At 42.3% G+C, this 18,955-nt stretch overlaps 1 long non-coding RNA gene across 2 annotated transcripts, besides 2 other annotated features; it reads left to right on the forward strand.

The window, feature by feature from the left end:
- Positions 2,356-2,650: an enhancer, noted in NCBI's record as "tiled region #11350; K562 Activating DNase unmatched - State 8:EnhW". NCBI's record gives its function as "activates a minimal TATA promoter and a strong SV40 promoter by Sharpr-MPRA in K562 cells {active_cell/tissue: K562}" and the evidence as "EXISTENCE:reporter gene assay evidence [ECO:0000049][PMID:27701403]".
- Positions 9,571-10,109: an enhancer, noted in NCBI's record as "OCT4-NANOG hESC enhancer chr11:45368824-45369362 (GRCh37/hg19 assembly coordinates)". NCBI's record gives its function as "activates a minimal SCP1, AML or CMV promoter by ChIP-STARR-seq in primed H9 embryonic stem cells {active_cell/tissue: H9 hESC(primed)}" and the evidence as "EXISTENCE:reporter gene assay evidence [ECO:0000049][PMID:30033119]".
- Positions 17,669-18,955, forward strand: LINC02696 (long intergenic non-protein coding RNA 2696). 2 transcript variants are annotated; one of them, NR_120557.1, is made up of 2 exons: positions 17,669-17,900; positions 18,177-18,955. It is a non-coding gene; the product is annotated as a long intergenic non-protein coding RNA 2696 (long non-coding RNA). The 2 variants fall into 2 exon arrangements; NR_120558.1 differs by having other exon boundaries at positions 18,694-18,955.

The raw sequence follows: 18,955 nt of genomic DNA on the forward strand, positions 1-18,955 counted from the left end.
AGTATTAAGTATAAACTATACTTTATATTCAATATTCCAGCAAAGTATTTTATATTGAGTATAAAATGCTGAGTATCAATTTTATATTGAGTATAAAAAGGGGTAAAGTGACAGAGCGCTGGGCAGTGGGAAGGGGTAGTTATGAAACAGACTCACTGTGCGCTAGTTACCACTTCAACCCACTTGATCTTGGGTTGCACGTTCACTACTTGCCCAAGTTCTGTGAAACAGAACACTGAAATACACAAGTTACATGAGGAAATACACAAGTTATTACTTATAGATAGTCAGCAAGGGACAGCAGCAGCCTAGAATTCATGAGTATCAGTCTCCAAGCCTCAGGAAAGCTGCCCAGATGGAGTCTTGTCTGCACATGCCCCACTTGCACCACAGCTGCGGAGCCCTGAAGGCAACCAGCCCTGGGTTTTAGACCACGGGGTACAGGACTTGCTGGGTCAACGCATTGAAGGACACCTTGTTTCTAATAGTGACTGAAGCAGAGCCTGGCCTGCTCAGACCAGTCCCGCCCTATTCCAGATGTTGCATTTCCAGCACATTACACAGCGATTCTTGGGAGCTATGACAGAAAAGAGGGAGAACTGGGTCGGTCCACAGCCATCCAGAGAATGGTCTTGCAGTAGTGCTGCATTGAGTCAGATATCCAGGAAGGCCTGGTAGACATTTGAACCCCAATCTAAGTGCCAAGAAGAATCCCCCGGAGAGGGATCAGGTCAATGCCTCCAAATGGAACAGCAAGAGCAAGAGCCCCGAGAAAGAAATGAGCTTGGCCTTGGTCACAGATAAGAAAGAAGGCCAGCGGGTTTATTGAATGGTGAAAAGAGAGTGAGCAAAGATGACCTCAATGGGTCACTGGGCCAGATTTCGCAGCACCCTTTTAGCATGCATGGAAGCTGTGGATTGTTTTGTTAAACCCTAGAAGATTGAAGTAGAGAAGTTATTTGCATTTTAAGAAAATCATTTTAATTATAGAAAAATGGTTGATTATAAGAGGGCAAAAAAGCATGGGCGAGCAGGGAAAAGGTAACTCTAGGAGGCCACACGGGTGATGAGGGTAGCCCGAACTTAGAGGGTAAAGATGGTGAGATGTGGACCATTCTGGATACATTGTAGGGGAAGGATTGAAGGGACTGCTGCTGGGCTGATTAGGCGGTGGTGAGATGCAGAGGCAGGAGAGGCTGAGGAAGCTTAAACCCCTGCATACTGTCTGGAATGACTGAGCCAGTTCTACAGAAGTGGCAACACTTAGACATTAGCCCAAATGCACTTCCTATATAAAAGCCCTGTGTGTGCTTCCTGTGTGCTGTGTGTGTGCTCTTCACATGCGTGTGTGTGTGTGTTTTTCAGCTAGCAGATTCACCTACTCTCATCCTCTCTCACTAGAATGTTCCAGTGCCCAGCAGGTTGAGCAGGGAGCAGAGGGGTGGAGTAGTACTCATCTCTGGCCAAATCGGCACAGGCTCACCCATTACACTGTTTACTAACATCTGCACTTACAGGGTCCTTGCCATGTGCCACATGCTGTTCAAAGTGGCCTACCAATATTAACACACGTAATCCTCAGAACAGCCCTAGGAAATAAGTGCTATTATAAATCCTCATTTTACAGGTAGGGAAACTGAGATTCCAAAAGATGAGGTGGGAGGCCGAAGGTCACATAGCTCATAGGCAGCAGAGACAGGATTTGAACCCAGGGTATATGATGTCAGAGGCCAGGCTTATCAATCACCTATTCCAGGGATGGCAAGGGAATACAGGCAGGAAAGAAAACCACCTAGCATGTCTTCTTTTCAATGCCTCTAAATGTGAAAGCACTTAGCAAAGTGCTGGCACATAGTAGGTGCTCAATGCATAACAATAATACATTTTATTAATATCCAGGGACCAGGCAGGTTATGTCCCTCCTGTGCACCCATGCCCTGTGGGAGGCAGAATATGCGAGTTGGAAAAAAATTGATCCACATCAGATGCCAAGCCGTCAAAAATAACTGGCAGGAGAGGAGAGACCAGGCAGAGCATGTATCTCTGATTCCCTTCGCTTGTTGTCACACTATTACAGTTAAAGAGTGAACACTTCACAAGAAAAAGAGCATACGTCTGCCCACGGGTTTCTAGATTTACATCCTTTTCACTTATTGGAAAGAGAAAAAAAATAGGACCAGATGTTAAAAGCATGAAAAAAAATTAAAAAGCAAGAAATTTGAGGGGGAGGGGAATCAGACTGGCAGCTCCATGGGAACCGAAACATGCAAATGACGTGCAGCCTGTTTTAATGATCTGACACCCCCGAACTGGAATTGATTACTGCTGTTGGGAGGAGAAAATGGATCGGCAAAGTGTGATCATGCAAACTTCAGAGGGATATTCAATCCCAAACACCGAAGTGAGGGAAGGGCTGGGAGATGCCCTCGTGGGAGAGAAAGCCGGCCACGCCTTCCAGTTCCAGCCTCTCGTTGATAGCCTTGTAATGACAACACGCGCCACCAGGGGGCGACCAACGTCTCGCACCAGGAAGACGGGGCTGTAGGGAGGGGCGTGGCAAAATGAGAGGCACAGGGCTGGCCCCATTCAGAGGAAGGAGAAGAGAAATCCAGCCACACCGGAGGGGCAGCTCCGGACCCGCTCAGGCTGCCCCAAGCGGCGCTCCCTTCACTCAGCAGGACTTGAGCAAGGCCAGCTGGAGTGGAAACCAAGCCTTGGAAGAGGAACCGTAAAAAAAGAACCTTGCTGGGCCAGAATTAGACACTTCAACTCAGCGTCCCCAGAAGGGAATTTTTGATCAGTAATTGCTGCCCATGAGAATTGGTTTTCTGGGAATGACAGGCTCATTAAGGAGGGAATAGAGACGATGTCCTAAATCAAGGGTCGGCAAACTTATCTGTAAAGGGACAGCTAGCACATATTTTATGCTTTGCGGGTTCTCAGGCCCTGTTGAAACTGCTGAAATAGCGTGCAGTTAGCCACAGACGATCTGTAAATGAATAAGCATGTCTGTGTTCCACTAAAAGTTTATTTATGGACAATAAAATTTGAATTTCCCTGTTAAAAGAATAAAAAGACAAGCCACAGACTGGGGAAAAAATAGTTGCAAAGCACGTTGGATAAAGAATTGGTATCTAAAACATACAAAGAAGCCTTAAAACTCAACGATAAGAAAACAAACAACCCAATTAAAAATGAGCAAAAGATCTGGACAGACACCTCACCAAAGAAGATATATAGATGGGAATTAACTATATGAAAAGATGCTCAACATTGTTTGTCATTGCAAATTAATTGCAAATTAAAAGCAACAATAAGAAACATTCTATGCCTAAAATCCAAAACGCTGACAAAACCGAATGCTAGTGAGGATGTGGAGCAACAGGAACTTTCATGTATTGCTGATGGGAATGCAAAGTGGTACTGCCATTTTAGAAGACAGTTTGGTGGTTTCTTAAACATACCCCTACCATATGATTCAGCAATCTCCCTCCTTGTATTTATCCAAAGGAGTTAAAAACTTGTGCACACAAAGCCTGCATGCAAATATTTATAGCAGCTTTATTCATAACGATCAAAACATGGAAACAATTGATGTCCTTCAATGAGTAAATGGGCAAACTGTGATATATTCAGACAATGGAATATTATTCAGTGCTAAAAAGACATGGAAGAACTTTAAATGCATATTACTGAGTGAAAGAAGCCAGTCTGAAATGGCTACATACTGTATGATTCCAACTACATGACATTCTGGAAGAGGCAAAACTATACAAACAGCAAAAAGATCAATGGTTGCCAGGGGTTAGCGGGAGAACTGAATAGACGCAAGCAGCTGGGCAGGGCTGTCGCTTGTGGGGTAGGACACCTGGTGGTTATGGCGAGGGCCTCGGCATGTCACAGTCTGGGTTTACGTTCTGGCTCTGCCATTTTCTAGCTAACCTTGGGTAAGCTAGATAACCTTGCTGTGCCTGCATTTTCTCACATGAAAATGGAATCGTAAGCAATCAGCTTCAAAGAGTTGTGAAGATTACATGAGAAAAGACCTGTTAAGTGCTTGTAATAGTGATTCATACACAGAAAGAAGTTGATACATGCTAGCAATTTTTATTACCAGGATGGGAAAGAGGGTGTTGCTGGAGGGAAGGCCTGCCAGGACAATGCTGAACACGACCCCGTGCATAGTTTATTTTTTTTTGAGATGGAGTTTTGCTCTTGTCGCCCAGGCTGGAGTGCAGTGGCGCGATCTCAGCTCACTGCAACCTCCGCCTCCCGGGTTCAGGCGATTCTCCTGCCTCAGCCTCCCGAGTAACTGGGATTGCAGTCGTCTGCCAACATGCCTGGCTAATTTTTTGTATTTTTTTTTTTTTTTTTTTTTTAGTAGAGATGGGGTTTCGCCATGTTGGGCAGGCTGGTCTCGAACTCCTGACCTCAGGTGATCCACCCACCTCGGCCTCCCAAAGTGCTGGGATTACAGGCATGAGCCACCGCGCCCTGCCCTAGTGCACATTAAGGAGCTGGAAGGGGAGTTGCGCTGCAGGTGAGAGAACCATGACTTTATATTCCAGAGTTGTTGATGCTGTCTATGTCCCCGTGTCCTCTGAGTTTCTAGGGCTCGGGGGCTGCCTTTCATCTTGAATCCTGCTTAGCTGAGGTTTCACCGTAAGACCGGGTCCAGGAAGCTAGAATCAGTTATGAGGTTCTGGAATTCTTGTTGCAAGAGGAAAAACAAACCCAGATTTGTTTGAGCCCATGTTGAGCTGGCTCTTCTGTTATTTGCACTGAGCAAGAGGGAAGGATGGCTTTCTGAAGCCAGGAAATAAAGCCACGGCCAAGGCAGGAAGGGTCCAGATGAGGGAGGTCAGAGGGTCACAGCAAGGCAGGCACAGGCAGGGCTCCCGGAGCTGACCCCATGAACACTGACTGTGCACTGGGTTGTGTTCTCTTGCACAGCCTGCTGCCCTGTAGTGGTCCAGGGACAGGCTCTCTAGTTTATTTTTCATTAAAAATGACTTTTATAGAATGTTTTGATTTCAAAAGCAATATCTGGTCTCTGGAGAAAAACTAGAAAATGTAGACAAGCAAAGCAAAGAGAAGAAAATAAAAATACATCCACTATCCTAATCCTGAGCAATAACTACTCTTTTTTCTTTTTTGGAGTTGAAGTCTCATTCTGCCGCTGATCTAGGCTCACTGCAACCTCTGCCTCCCGGGTTCAAGCGATTCTTCTGCCTCAGCCTCCCAAGTAGCTAGGACTACAGGTGCACACCATCATACCCTGCTAATTTTTTGTATTTTAGTAGAGACAGGGTTTCACCATGTTGCCCAGGCTGGTCTCAAACTCCTGACCTCAGGCAATCCACCTTCCTTGGCCTCCCAAAGTGCTAGGATTTCAGGTGTGAGCCACTGCACCCAGCCAGTAACTGCTCTTTATACTTGTTCAGTGTCCATCCGGCTTTTTCCTAGGAGTGCAATATATTTATAGCATCATTTAATAAAATTAAATTTTATACCACATACCTATATAACCTTTTAAAAACTCAATTGGCATTATATCATTAATATCTTTTCATGTCAATACTCTACAATCTGGGTTTTAATGATTATGTAATATTCCATTGTATGGGCATGCAAGTACTTTAATTTACCAATCCCTTACTATTGGACATTTAGGCTGTTTTCCAATTTTCACTACTCTAAACAACTGTGACGAACATCCTTTTGCATAATTACTTATCCACATTCTCATTTTCTTACCTGGGTTACATTTCCAAAGGTAGGATTACCTCATCAAAGGATATGCACATTTTTAAGGCTTTGATGCACATTGCTTCACTAACCTCAGGAAAAGTAGTGATAAATTATACCCCAGGGATGGCTATTGTCCCCAGGGACAATGCTGATCTTTATATGCAGGGTCTAGAGCAAAGCATTGCATATAATAAGAGCTGATTAAATATGCATAGATTGTAATTTGAGCATAATAAATCCAGACTCTTTCAAGCACACTATCTGCAGTTCTTCTGTCTGCTGTTAGCCCTCCAAGAGACAGAGTAAAGAATTGTTCATAAAAATGAGAGAAAGGTAAGGGATGATGAAAAGAAAGTGGAACAATATCTCAGGGGAGTGTGCCATTTAATAATACCCTAGGTCATTACACAGCACTTTCACTGAAATATAGGTGTTAATGGCCCACTTATGAACATTTCTACTCCAACATAAATTAGAGTCTAAATTATTTAAACCATCCCAATGTAACCATACCAGGCAAAAGTCGGGTACATAGAAGTACCATGGCTTAGAGGTAAAAGACCATGGAGAAAATAATTATCATAATATCCAACCTCCCAATAAACATGATGGAATTGCCACTTGGGAATCCACACCCTCCCTTCAATATCCAACGTAACCAGCTTAGGGAAAGCACTTCAAAGAAGTGTGGGTGAAGATAAAGGAACACTTAGTTACAATCTGAGCTCACCCTGCAAGCTTTGATTTCTGACTATTCTTAGGACTTGTTTCTTTCAAATCCTCAGACTAGAGGGCTTGGTTCATTTTGACAGAGAAAGATAATCATTGAAAAACAGAAGGAGGTTTGGTTTAGCCTTACAATGGTTTCTATGTTAAGCCTCACAAATGAAAGTCATATTAAACTGGATTTATTCATCCCTGACATCAAAGAAAGGAGAATGAAGGAGAAAAAAACGTATTAAAACTTGCAAAAAATAATCTTTCTATAAAACCTGACATTTATGAACATAACTCAAAGAAATACCTAAAAATTAATCTGTGGATTACACCAATTTAAAATGTATGGGAAGAATACAAGTAGGAAGAGGGGGAAAACAAACAAAGGGAAATATATTGACATTCTGAAGTCTCTTTTCATTTAACAACAAATATTTTCAAAGAACACAAGGCTTTCTCAGTCATTAACAATTCATTTTTTTATAAGCTACATTCAATTTTAATCATCTACAATATATGAAAAATCCCCCTCAGGATTACCTGCACAAAATTGCAAAAGAAAAAAAAATTGTAAGATTATATGACAGTTTCAAAGCTGAATTACAAATGTATGCACCCAGCAGCAGATAAAAATGAAGGAGAATACGGGAATGATTAAGTTTTCAATTTCCCTACAATGACTTGATGTTAATTTCAATTCACTTACAAGCCTCTTTGTAAAGGATTAATAAAGAAAAGAAATAATCTGATGGTTTGACAACATGAAGGTACTGGGAAATTATTTCCCTGAGAGATTGTCATTTAGAAGCTGGATAAGTTTCTGATTCACTTGCGGCCTCAGTTTCTCATCTTTAAACTGGGAATTGGGAAATGACAATGATGATTCCCCAGTAGGATTCATGTGAGGATTTCATGAGATGATGGAATTCAAATGTTGTGCAGATGGCAGGGACTCACTTAAAAATAGCCATTTTTATTGACATGGGCATGGCAAAAATTTAAAGTGCCTGTGATAAAGATCATCAGTGAATCTCATACAATAGACTTTTCTAAACTTTGCCCTTCCTTCTCTTTAATTCTTTGATATCTACAGTATAACCAGTAATATGTTCTGCTTTGAGTGTCTTAAGATGGAAAACATCAACAAGCAACAATACTTTGCATTGAGTACTTACTACATGCCAGGTGCTTTATGTCATCTCAAACAGTCCTCACAACAAACCTATTGCGTAGGCACTACTCATCTTAGTTTGCCAATAACAAAATTGAGACCTAAATAAGTTAAGGAGTTTTCCAAATGGCTGGAGGCAGCACAGAGGTTAAAAGCATGAGCTCTGGAGCCAAGCTGCCTCAGTTTCCCTATTGAGGGAAATTGGGATGGGTAGTATATTTGACAGTGTTCTCTAGAGAAATAGAACTAATAGGATGTGGGTGTGGGGGCGCTGAGGGGAAGCAGTGTGGGAGAGAGAGAGACTTTATGTTAGGGAATTGGTTCATGCAATGGTGGGGGCTGGAAAATGCAAACTTTGCAGTGGTGACTGGCAGTCTGGAAATTCCAGCAGAAGTTGATTGTTGCAGTTTTGAGTCCAAAGGCAGTCTGGAGGCAGAGTTCTGTCCTCCTGGCGGGACCTCAATCTTTTTTCTTAAGGCCTTCAACTGATTGGAGGAGACCTACTCACATTAAAGAGGGTAATGTACTTTACTCAAAGTCTACTGATTCAAATGTTAATCACCTAAAATCACCTAAAAAAATACCTTCCCAGCAACATCTGGACTGGTGCTTGACCTAGCAACTGGGTGCTACAACCTACCACATTGACACATAAAATTAACCACCACTGGGGGTAAGAACATTACCTACCTCGCATGGTTTGGAAGGATTAAATAATATAAATCATGCACAGTACTTGGTATGCCTGAGGCCCTCAGTGTCTTTATTTTCTTATGGACAGAGCCTGCTAAGGAGGAAGCAGTCCATAGGTGTTAGCTATTGTTATAAAGGGACACAGCCATATTAGAACCCAGGTCATTTGCCTCCAGAGCTGATTGTCAACTTTTAAACCTGTACTGTCCAATATGATAACAGTCAGAGAGATGTGACTACTTACCATGTGTACGTGGCTAGTGTGACTAAAATTTAAATCTCATTTCAAAACCAAAGCACAGTAATTTGTTTGTTTGTTTGAGATGGAGTCTCCCTCTGTCACCAGGCTGGAGTGCAGTGGCACGATCTCGGCTCACTGCTATCTCCGCCTCCCAGGTTCAAGCCCCCCTCCCCTGCTTCAGCCTCCTGAGTAGCGGTGACTACAGGCTCGCACCACCACGCCCGGCTAATTTTTTGGTAGAGATGGGGTTTCACCATGTTGACCAGGATGGTCTTGATCTCTTGACCTCATGATCCGCCTGCCTTGGTCTCCCAAAGAGCAGAGTGAATTTTTAAGCATTGAAATGGCCTGAGTACTAGATATATTTAGTTAAATAAAATATACTATCAAAATTAATTTCATCTTTTACTTTTTGCTTTTGTAAATGTGGCTACTAGAAAAATCTAAATAACACACATGGCTTGCATCATATATTTCTTGTACGGTGCTACTCTAAGCATGGCGCCTTCCCAGGGGTACACAGGCCTGGCGTGTGAACACAAGCCCTCCACAGGACAGGCTAAGCAGCGAAAACACTGCACCAGTGCATCTTAACGTCAGCGAGGCTACCCAACTTCTTAAAAAAAAAAATCTTAACAGTAGCACCACCCACAAAGGAAATAAGTAAACTGGACTTTATTAAAATTAGCTCTTTTGCCTATCAAAAGACACTACTAATAGGGTAAAACAGCAAACTACAGATTTGGAAAAGATATTTGCAATTCATATAGCCAAACAGTGGACTTATATTTAGGATATATAACAAATTCCTGTGAATCAATTTTTTAAAAAAGGAATAAAACTCAATAGAAAAATGTGTGAAATATTTGAACAGGCATTTTAGAAAACAAGGTGTCCAAATGGCCAATAAACACATTACATGCAAATTAAAACATAATGGCTGAAATGAAAATGATGGAAAAATATCAAATGCTGACAAAGATGAAACAACTGAAATTCTTACATATCGCTAGTATGGTATAAATTGGTATGACCATGTTGGAGGATTTTTTTTTCCTGCCAAGTAAAAGCATGCTTCCTTCCACTAACACCCCCCTCGGTGCAGGAAAATTAATCTCTAACTTAAAAAGCCAGCGTTTCAAAATGTATAAAATAATGAGGCAGAGAGAAGGCCTCGGGCCTTGCCACACTGGAAGGTATCATCAGCAGTTAATTGAGCCACAGGGAGGCTGAGAGCAGGATTGCAAATATGGTAAGCTTCACAAATGACAAAATATAGTGCCTGACCTTTTTAAAGCAGATCTCGTGGGCTCCTCACAAACTGCAGGGCATTCTTTGAGGTCGGGAACCAGAGGGGCCCTGCAAGGGGCTTTGGTGAGGCAGGCGAGAGTCTGCTAGGAGAGTTGCTTTCACATTAAGCCATAAAACAATTTTCTTTGGAAAAAAATGTGTTTGTAACAAATGCCCCGCAGAATTATACTACATCACTGAAAACTGAACATTTGCAAAGCTTTGCTCAGGACTTTGTTATCATGCTCTGCCCTAAATCTAAGAGTAAAGAGTTATTCTTGTCAGGCATCTGCTTTTGAAGTTCCTGGCTAAGTCAAATAGTGCATGAGGCTCCACAGCAGCTCTTAATCAGGAAAACGGAGAGATGATTGTCGTTAACATAAAACACGGAACCCTGGGACCAGCTTTCTGTCTGCCCCAAAAACCAGCTGCTTCCAAGCCCCTCTAATTCCTGGTTCTCTGGGAAGGTGCTAGTCCAGTGACTTTTATCCAGGGGTCCACGGACCCGTAACATGTTTGTGGAGGGAATTCAGGGGTCTGTGAACTCAAATGAGGAAAAATATATCTATGTTTGCTAACTTCCAACCGAAATGTAGCACTTTGGTTTGGAAAGCAGGCAACAAACCATAGTAATGTTATCAGTCCTCATTGTCACCAATAGAAATCACCGACATTTTCATGTATTACAGTTGCTACAGATATGTTGAAATCAAGCTCAGGCTCATCTGTGCAGCAAAATTGGCAATTAGATCCACTATTAGACCTTGTAACATAAAAGCATAAATAAAGAAGCATATATCGGCCAGGTATGGTGGCTCACGCCTGTAGTCCCAGCATTTTGGGATGCTGAAGCAGGCAGATCACTTGAGGTCAGGAGTTCGAGACCAGTCTAGTCAACATGGTGAAACCCTGTCTCAACTAAAAATACAAAAATTAGCCAGGCATGGTGGCAGGAACCTGTAATCACAGCTACTCTGGAGGCTGAAGCAGGAGAATCACTTGAACCCAGGAGGCAGAGGTTGCAGTGAGCTGAGATCGCAACACTGCACTCCAGCTTGGGTGACAGAGGGAGACTCCATCTCAAAAAAAAAAAAAAAGGAGCATATGTATGATTCAATCACCATTTTAAAATATATTTTGTATTTCAATAAGGCTGTAATCATATGTGTCTTCAGCATTTAAAAAGTTTTATTCCAAGGTGCCCCTAGGCTTCCCTGCCAGAGGTATCCCTGACATGAAAGAGGTTAAGAAGCCCTATCTAGACAAAAAAAGGCAGGCCTTATTTAGACCAGGGAGTAGTATTAATAGAAGGAGCAAGGCAGGGCAAAGGTACTATCTTTGATCCCGGCAAAGTACAGCTGGATATGGCAAAGCAATGCCTGACCCAACCTGAATGCCAGGTAGCCAGACAAACCAGTGTGGTCTAGAACAGTCTAGAAGAGCAAATTGCCTGGAAGGGTGCTGCTCATGACAATCCCAGGAAGCACAAACAAGGGAGCCCTTGAGGAAAATCTCCCCCAAAGTACCTGTGGTCACTGTTTAAAGCTCTGGCTTTGACCCAGGTCAGACCTGGCTCAATCCTGGCTTCATAATCACCTTTGGCAAGAAATGGTTCACCTAATCAGGGTGAACCTCAGTTTCTCTCTCCATCTGTAAAATGGTAATAATACCTCCCTTAAGTTTTTGTTAAAGTTATGTAATTTATTCATAAATATGTTAAACAAAGAAAGCAAATTACAGAATGATAGATACTTCATTTATGTACAATATTAAGTAATACAAAACTATGTTATATAATGTTTATAAAGACTTCTGCACTAATATAGAAAATTATGCGTGGGGATCAAAAACACCAAATTCAATTTCCTAGTGCTTATATATAGGAAATGGGGGAAAATAGGTTTGGGATAAAAAAATGATCTGTGTTTGTAAGTGGAGAATCTGAAATAAATACATATGGCAAAGATTAAGATTTGATAATGCTTTCTTTTAACCTTTATTTAAGTGACCTACAATAAGCTGAACACTTAAAAACATACAATTTAATAAGTTTTGGCATATGTATACTCTCATGAAACCATTACCATAATCCAGATAATGAACATATCCATCATTCCCAAATGTTACCTCATTACAACATGCCATGTTGTAATGGCTCATCTGGCAGCCTGACTTGAGAGTGTGTGCCTTCATCCTCCTGAAGAGGGTCAACTGTATTCCTTTATTATCTTGCTTATTCTGGAGAACCTGTAGTAATATCCTCTGTTTCATTCCTAATATTGGTGATATTAGAATGTTACCTAATATTCTTCTTTTTTGTCTGTCTTGCTAGAGTTTTATCCTTTAGAAAATATTTTCAAAAAACCAGCTCTTTTTTTTTAGTTGCTTTAATAGTTTTATTGCTTTCTATTTCTTGACTTTGCTCTTTATTATTTCTTTCTTTCAGCTTGTTATGGGTTTAATTTGCTTTTCTTTTTCTAGGTACTGTAGTTGGGAGCTAAGATTGTTGATGAGAGTTTTCCTTTCTTCTAATGTATGCTATGCATTTAGTGCTATAAATTTCCCTCAGCACTGCTTAGCTCTCTTCTACAAATTTTGATATGCTTATTTTCATTTTCATCCAGTACAGCATATTCTTTTGTTTCCCTTGAGACTTCCACTTTGACCCATGGAATATTTAGAAACGTGTTGCTTAGTTTCCACCTGTTTGGGTGAGTTTACTGTCATCTTTCTGTTGCCGTTCTCTAATTTGATTCCACAGTGGTCAGAGAACACACTTGGTATGATTTTAACTCTTTCAAATGCGTTAAAGTCTGTTTCATAGCCCAGAATGTGGTCGATTTTTGGAGTATGTTCCCTGGGCACTTAAAAAGAACATACCTTCTGTTGTCAGGTGGAGCATTCTATGAATGCTGATAAGATCATTTTGATTGATAGTGTTGCTGAATTTTTCTATATCCTTGCTGATTTTCTGTCTAGCTGTCCCATTAATTATTGAGAGAGGGGTGTGGATTTGTCCAGTTCTCCTTTTAACGTATCTATTTTTTGCTTCACATATTTTGCAGCTGTTATTTGGTGTGTACACATTTAGGGTTGATATTTCTTCTTGATGGATTGACCCTTTTATCATTTTGTCACATTGTTCTCTATCTCTGGTAATTTTCTTTGCCCTGAAATTTACCTTATCTGATGCTAATATAGCTACTCCCACTTTGATTGTTTGCATGATATATTTTTTCCATCCTTTCACTTTCAATCTGCCTATATTGTTAAATTTGAAGTGAGAATTTCTTACAGGTGGCATGTAGCTAGGTCATCATTTTCCTCTACTCTGCCAATCTGTGTGTTTTAATTGGTGTATTTAGACCATTGACATTTAATGTAATTATTGATATGTTAAGGTTTAAGTCTACCATTTTGTATTTTCTATTCTCATTTCTGTTTTCTCTTTCTTGCCTTCCTGTGAGTTATTTTAACTTTTTTGTTGAATCTCATTTTTATTTATCTAGTGTTTTTGAGTGTCTTTCTGTATATTCTTTTTAGTGGTTGCTCTAGGTATTTCATTTAATATATACATAATATCGCATTCTCTGGGGTCATCATTTTACCAATTTGAATGCAGTGGAGAAATTTTTACCATCCTCTATATCCCTTTACCTTCTCCCACTTATAATTGTCTTAAATATTTCCTCTACAAACATTTAGATAGATATCAGCAGATACAGGGGAAGTACTTTTTTGTTTGTTTTGTTGGTGGTCTTTGGCTGGAGTCAAGCAGTTATTGTCCAAAAGCCTTCTGTCTTGCTAAGTTGCCCCATTCTTAGTCCTTTATCTTAAGAAAGGTGGCTTTTCTTGGGACTTTTTTTTTTTTTTTGTCTGATGCCGTTAGCATTACTGGGTCACTGGCTTCCTCAGCTCTAGGTTTGGAATATATGAGGCAAAGGAAAACCCAGAAAATTTGCCAGCATGGTGCTCCTTAGATCACAAGGTTCCTAGTCATTCCACCTTTCTAAGTCTTCTTATGTTTGTTTTTTGTATAATGCCCAGGGGTTTTAGTTGCACTTTGTGGGAGGAAGAAGAGAAAGTACATTTACTCCATTTTCCTGGAAGCAGAAGCCCTGATGCATTTCTAAAGCTGGCCTCTTGTTCCACTTTCACAAAAGACATTTCCCTATGAAAGAGCGTTAACATCCCACTGCTCTTCAAAATGGAAAACAAGTTTGCAGTAAGAGACAAGATGATCAGCAAGGTTTAAATCATCTCAATCTGCCTGCCAAGACACTAAAAATAGAGGGGCAAAAAGCTAGCTCAGTTTTCTAGAAATGCCTCAAGAAAATGAGATAATATGAACATTGATGATTTCGTTGATTCCTCATACAGACTTCAGGGGTATCATTCCTCAGCGATACGAGCTAGTGAGGACTTTACCCCTGGGGATGCATCTGTCTCAATCCATTATATACCACTGCCAGTCTACACCAATCATTCCCAAATTTTATAGTGCAACCAAAGTACCTGGGGAATGGTTATTAAAATACAGCTTCTGCAGTGGTACCTCTGGGGAAAGCAGAGCAGTGCTGGGTGTGTATATAGCCATTTGGGAACCCCAGTGTACGTCCAGACCAAGGCAAGTCCCCCTGAAACTGCCTCTTTAAAAATTATACAGCATTGTTTTGGTTATTGGGGTTGTAATAAGTACTTGGCTCATAGAAAAGTCACTTCTTATAAAATAATAATGGCAGCATTTTGCACAGCTAAAAAGTGCAGATTCTAGGCCTCAATCTGTAGGTCTTAGGTGGGCCAAGGAACCACTTAGCCTCTTGGTCTTGAGTAAGCTCAGCTGTGTACTGGTCAACACTAGAATTCACTGAGAGATCTGTAAAATTACAAGTAATAAAAATGCATATTAAGATAGAACTTATCAGATTCCCAATAACAAAAAGACATTTTAAAGTCAGACAAGTAGGGTAAACAACAGGACATGGAAAACTGAGAGCTGAGTATGGGTACCAAAACCAATACATGGCACTGGCTGCAGTCTCTGGTCATCTGCTGTCTCCTGACTCCTACTATAAAGGAGGCTGGGCCGGGCGCAGTGGCTCACGCCTGTAATCCCAACACTTTGGGAGGTCAAGGTGGGTGGATCACTTGAGGTCAGGAGTTCGAGACCAGCCTGGCCAACATGGTGAAACCCTGTCTCTCTACTAAAAATACAAAAATTAGCCAGGTGTGGTGGCACACGCCTGTAATCCCAGCTACTTTGGAGGGTGAGGCATGAGAATCGCTTGAACCCTGGAGGCAGAGGTCGCAGTGAGCCGAAATGGTGCCACTGCACTCCAGCCTGGGCAACAGAGCAAGACTCTGTCAAAAAAAAAAAAAAAAAAAGAGGCTATTATCCTATTTCAGACATTTTAAGGTTACTGTAGAGTCACTATCTAGGAATCTACATGGCTAAAATCTGCTTGCTCTGCTATCCCCCCAACCCCTACAGCCACGCACACATCCTCCACTGATCTCAAACTTCTCAGGCACTTCATCTCCTTCCTTCAATGATCTCACCTCCCTTTCCTAGGCAAAATGCACACTGCAAGACAGGACATACTTCACCTTCCAGCATCAAACTTTCATCCACGGCTGCTCTGGCCATGTGTGTGAATTAGAAAGAGGCACTCTTTCCTCAAGGGTCTTTACTATCATTTGCCAGGAAACAGTCAAGGCCACTCTTCAGTTTGTCCATGGGCTGATCAACATAAAAAATCCCTGGCTCCTTCTCATCAATATTTAAACAAGCTTTGGCTGGGTGTGGTGGCTCGTGCCTGTAATCCCAGCACTTTGGGAGGCCAAGGTGGGAGCAACTGAGGTCAGGAGTTTGAGACCAGCCTGGCAAACATGGTGAAACCCCATCTCTACTAAAAATACAAAAATTAGCCTAGCGTGGTGGCGCGTGCCTGCAATCAGAGCTACTCAGGAGGCTAAAGTAGGAGAATCATTTGAACCCCAGTGGCAGAGGTTGCAGTGAGCCAATATTACACCAATGCACTCCAGCCTCGGCAACAGAGTGAGACTACATCTCAAGAAAACAAAACAAAACAAAAACCCCCCAAAACAAGCTTATGTTTCTCCAATCTTAAAAAATAATAATTAAAAATCATCATTTTCCTTTCAGAATCACTCTCATTTCTTCACAGACAACTTCTTGGAAGATTTGCCTATGTTCATTTATCTCCATTTTCTCACCATCACCCTCACTTATTCCTCAACTCACCACAAGCTGACCTTCTCCAGCCATTCCAAGGAATCTGCTCCAGGTAACAACAAAGTCTGCTCAGTCATCTCACTAATTTATCAGCAAAACTGACCTAATTACTCTTCCTGAAGTGCTCTTCCCTTGCTCCCTGCAATGCCGCATTTCCCTGGTTCCTCTCCTAGGGCTGCCTGCTCATCTTCCCTTTCTTTAGTAGAAGAGCTCTTGACACTCTGTCCTGCGCCTCTTTCCCAAAGGGTATTCTCTCCACCAGGCAATTTCTTCTAAGCTCCTGCTCTAGCACCATTCATATACAAGAATCTAAGGCACAGATTTCTAGCTCAGGCCTGTCATCTAAAAAATCAAACCAGGCACATCCATTGGCCTGTTGAGTTTCTCCCCTAGAAGACCTTCAAGGCTTAATATATGTAAAACCAAACTTCCCACACATCAGCTTCTTCTCCTGTGGTTCCCTTTTAGTATGTGATGGCCCAACATTCTCCCAGCTATCAGCCCAGAAGCCTGGCAGTCACCCCAACTCTGCAAATTTCACACACCCAATCCACCACCACCACTGCCGCCACCTGCTTCCCAATGATCTCTCTCTCTCCCTCCCTCCCTCCTGTATTCTTCAGCTGTGGCCTGAGTCCAAGTAACCAAAGTCAAGAAAAGCAGGGCCATGTACTCTGTACTCACCAGCCTGGTGCTTGAAACCCTCAACTATTGTAAAGTGGTTATGTTAATGAAAAGGGGTCCCCATCCAGACCCCAAGAGAGGATTCTTAGACTTTAAGCAACGAAGAATTTGGGGCAAGTTCAAAGAGTAAAGTGAAAGCAAGTTTATTAAAAAAGTAAAGGAATAAACGATTGGCTACACCATAGGCAGAACAGCGGCATGGGCTGTTCAACTGTGTATACGTTATTTATTGATTATACACTAAACAAGGGGTAGATTAGTCAAGAGTATTCTGGGGAAAGGAGTGGCAATTCCCAGAACTGAGGGTTCCACCCTCGCCTTCAGATCATATAGAGTAACTTCCTAACATCGCCATGGCATTTGTAAATGCTCATGGTGCTGGTGGGAGAGTCTTTCAGCAAGCTAATGTATTATAATTAGCATATGATGAGCAGTGGGGACAACCAGAGTTCACTTTCATTGCCAATCTTGGTTTTGGTGGATTTTGGCCGGCTTCTTTAAGTATCCTGTTTTACCAGCAGGGTCTTTGTGACCTGTATCTTGTGCTGACCTCCCTGTCTCATCCTGTGACTTAGAATGCCTAACCTCCTGGGAATGCATCCCAGCAGGTCTCCACCTTCTTTTATGCAGCCCCTATTCAAGATGGAGTCCCTCTGGTTCAAACGCCTCTTGACAGTTCATCTTTTCAGTGTTTCCGGCTAGGAAATTTAAATGTTTGTCCATCTATTCACTGGGCTCTGAAGCACTCATTTAGTACACTGAGAAAGGAGAGGGAGGGGGGATGGGAGGAGGGGAGGAGCAGAGAAAGGAGAGGAGGCGGAGACGGTTAGTCTAGCCTCTCTGTGGGGCCTCTCTGCTGGTACCCAGATGCTGAGCGCTGAAATTCTCATCCGCCACACACAACATGGCGGCTTCCTGGACCCGCGCCCAATTTTCGCTTCCGGGATGGAAGCTACGTCATTTCCCCCTCTGTTGCCCTAGCGCCCCTTGGAAGCCAAGAATATGAGGAAGTCTTCTTCCTTCGCGCCTTCTTCTTCCTTACGCTCCAGGGCAGCCTGACAGAGCCGCTCGAAGGCTCTGCTGGCCGCGGCTAGCCGGTGAGGAGGGTGGGGGGAGGGGCCGTCCCGCGTGTGGGGGAGTCTGAAGGCGACCAACGAGAGGGAGGGCCGGAGCGGGGAGGTGGCTCGGAGGCATGTCCAGTAAATTGGGGATGAAAATCCTCCCAGGAACCCGATTATTAATGGGTTGAGGGAAGTGGCAGGTGCAGCGGTTGCGCAAAGACAATGATGCTTAGTAGCCAGGACTTCATGGCCACAAAATTTGTGTGTAGAGAGGGCCACAGCAGCCTGAAAACCATTTTCGTCCCCTTTTAGGTTTACCCATTCCACTGGACCCAGCCACCACCCACTCCTGCTGTCTGGTAAACTTTCCTCCTGTTTCTGGGGCCATGTCTGGCATGAAGAGTTTTTACTGAATAGTTTTCATTGATCGCAGGCCAGTTCTCTCTTCTCACCCCTTTATTGAAGTGACAGTGAAAATCTAAGTGAGAAAGCACTGTTACAGGGGCTGAAAAGGCTACAGGAGACCAGAGCCATTGACTTTTATTTTTAAAATGAAGATCTCTTTTACTTGAAGGAACTTAAGAATTTTGGCATTCAAATAGGGGCTGGAAGACTTGAAAGCAGTAGAAATTTCACCACAGGTGATAGGAAAGGATGATCACGAAATGAATATCTCCTGACTTGCACACCTAGTGAGCAGAGCCAGGAAGGACCTCCTTCACCTTAGCATTTGGAACAGGCTGCAAAGTTCATTCTTCCTCATAGCAGCCCCTGCATTCAGTTTGGTTTAGTTGTTTTATGTGGTTTCTAGCCTGATTTTTTTTTTCAGGGTGCAGCAGAAGTCTCAGGTAGCTGAGAAGTTCATGGAATCTTCTTATTTGCTACACCTTTCACTACTGCTTGTGATATAGTGCAGGGTTGGGATGTGCAGACATTTCTCAAGTGCACTGTGTACCTACACAGCATGCTGCAATTTGGCTACTGAAGTCAAGAGAAACTGGTTTGAACAACTACTGAGTGTAACATAGGAAGCGCATTTCATTTGATAACAGGAACACAGCTTTTGTGCTAATAAAATGCTTTGAAAATTA

Source organism: Homo sapiens, chromosome 11 (genome assembly GCF_000001405.40).
Source record: "Homo sapiens chromosome 11, GRCh38.p14 Primary Assembly".
Lineage (NCBI taxonomy): Eukaryota > Metazoa > Chordata > Mammalia > Primates > Hominidae > Homo > Homo sapiens.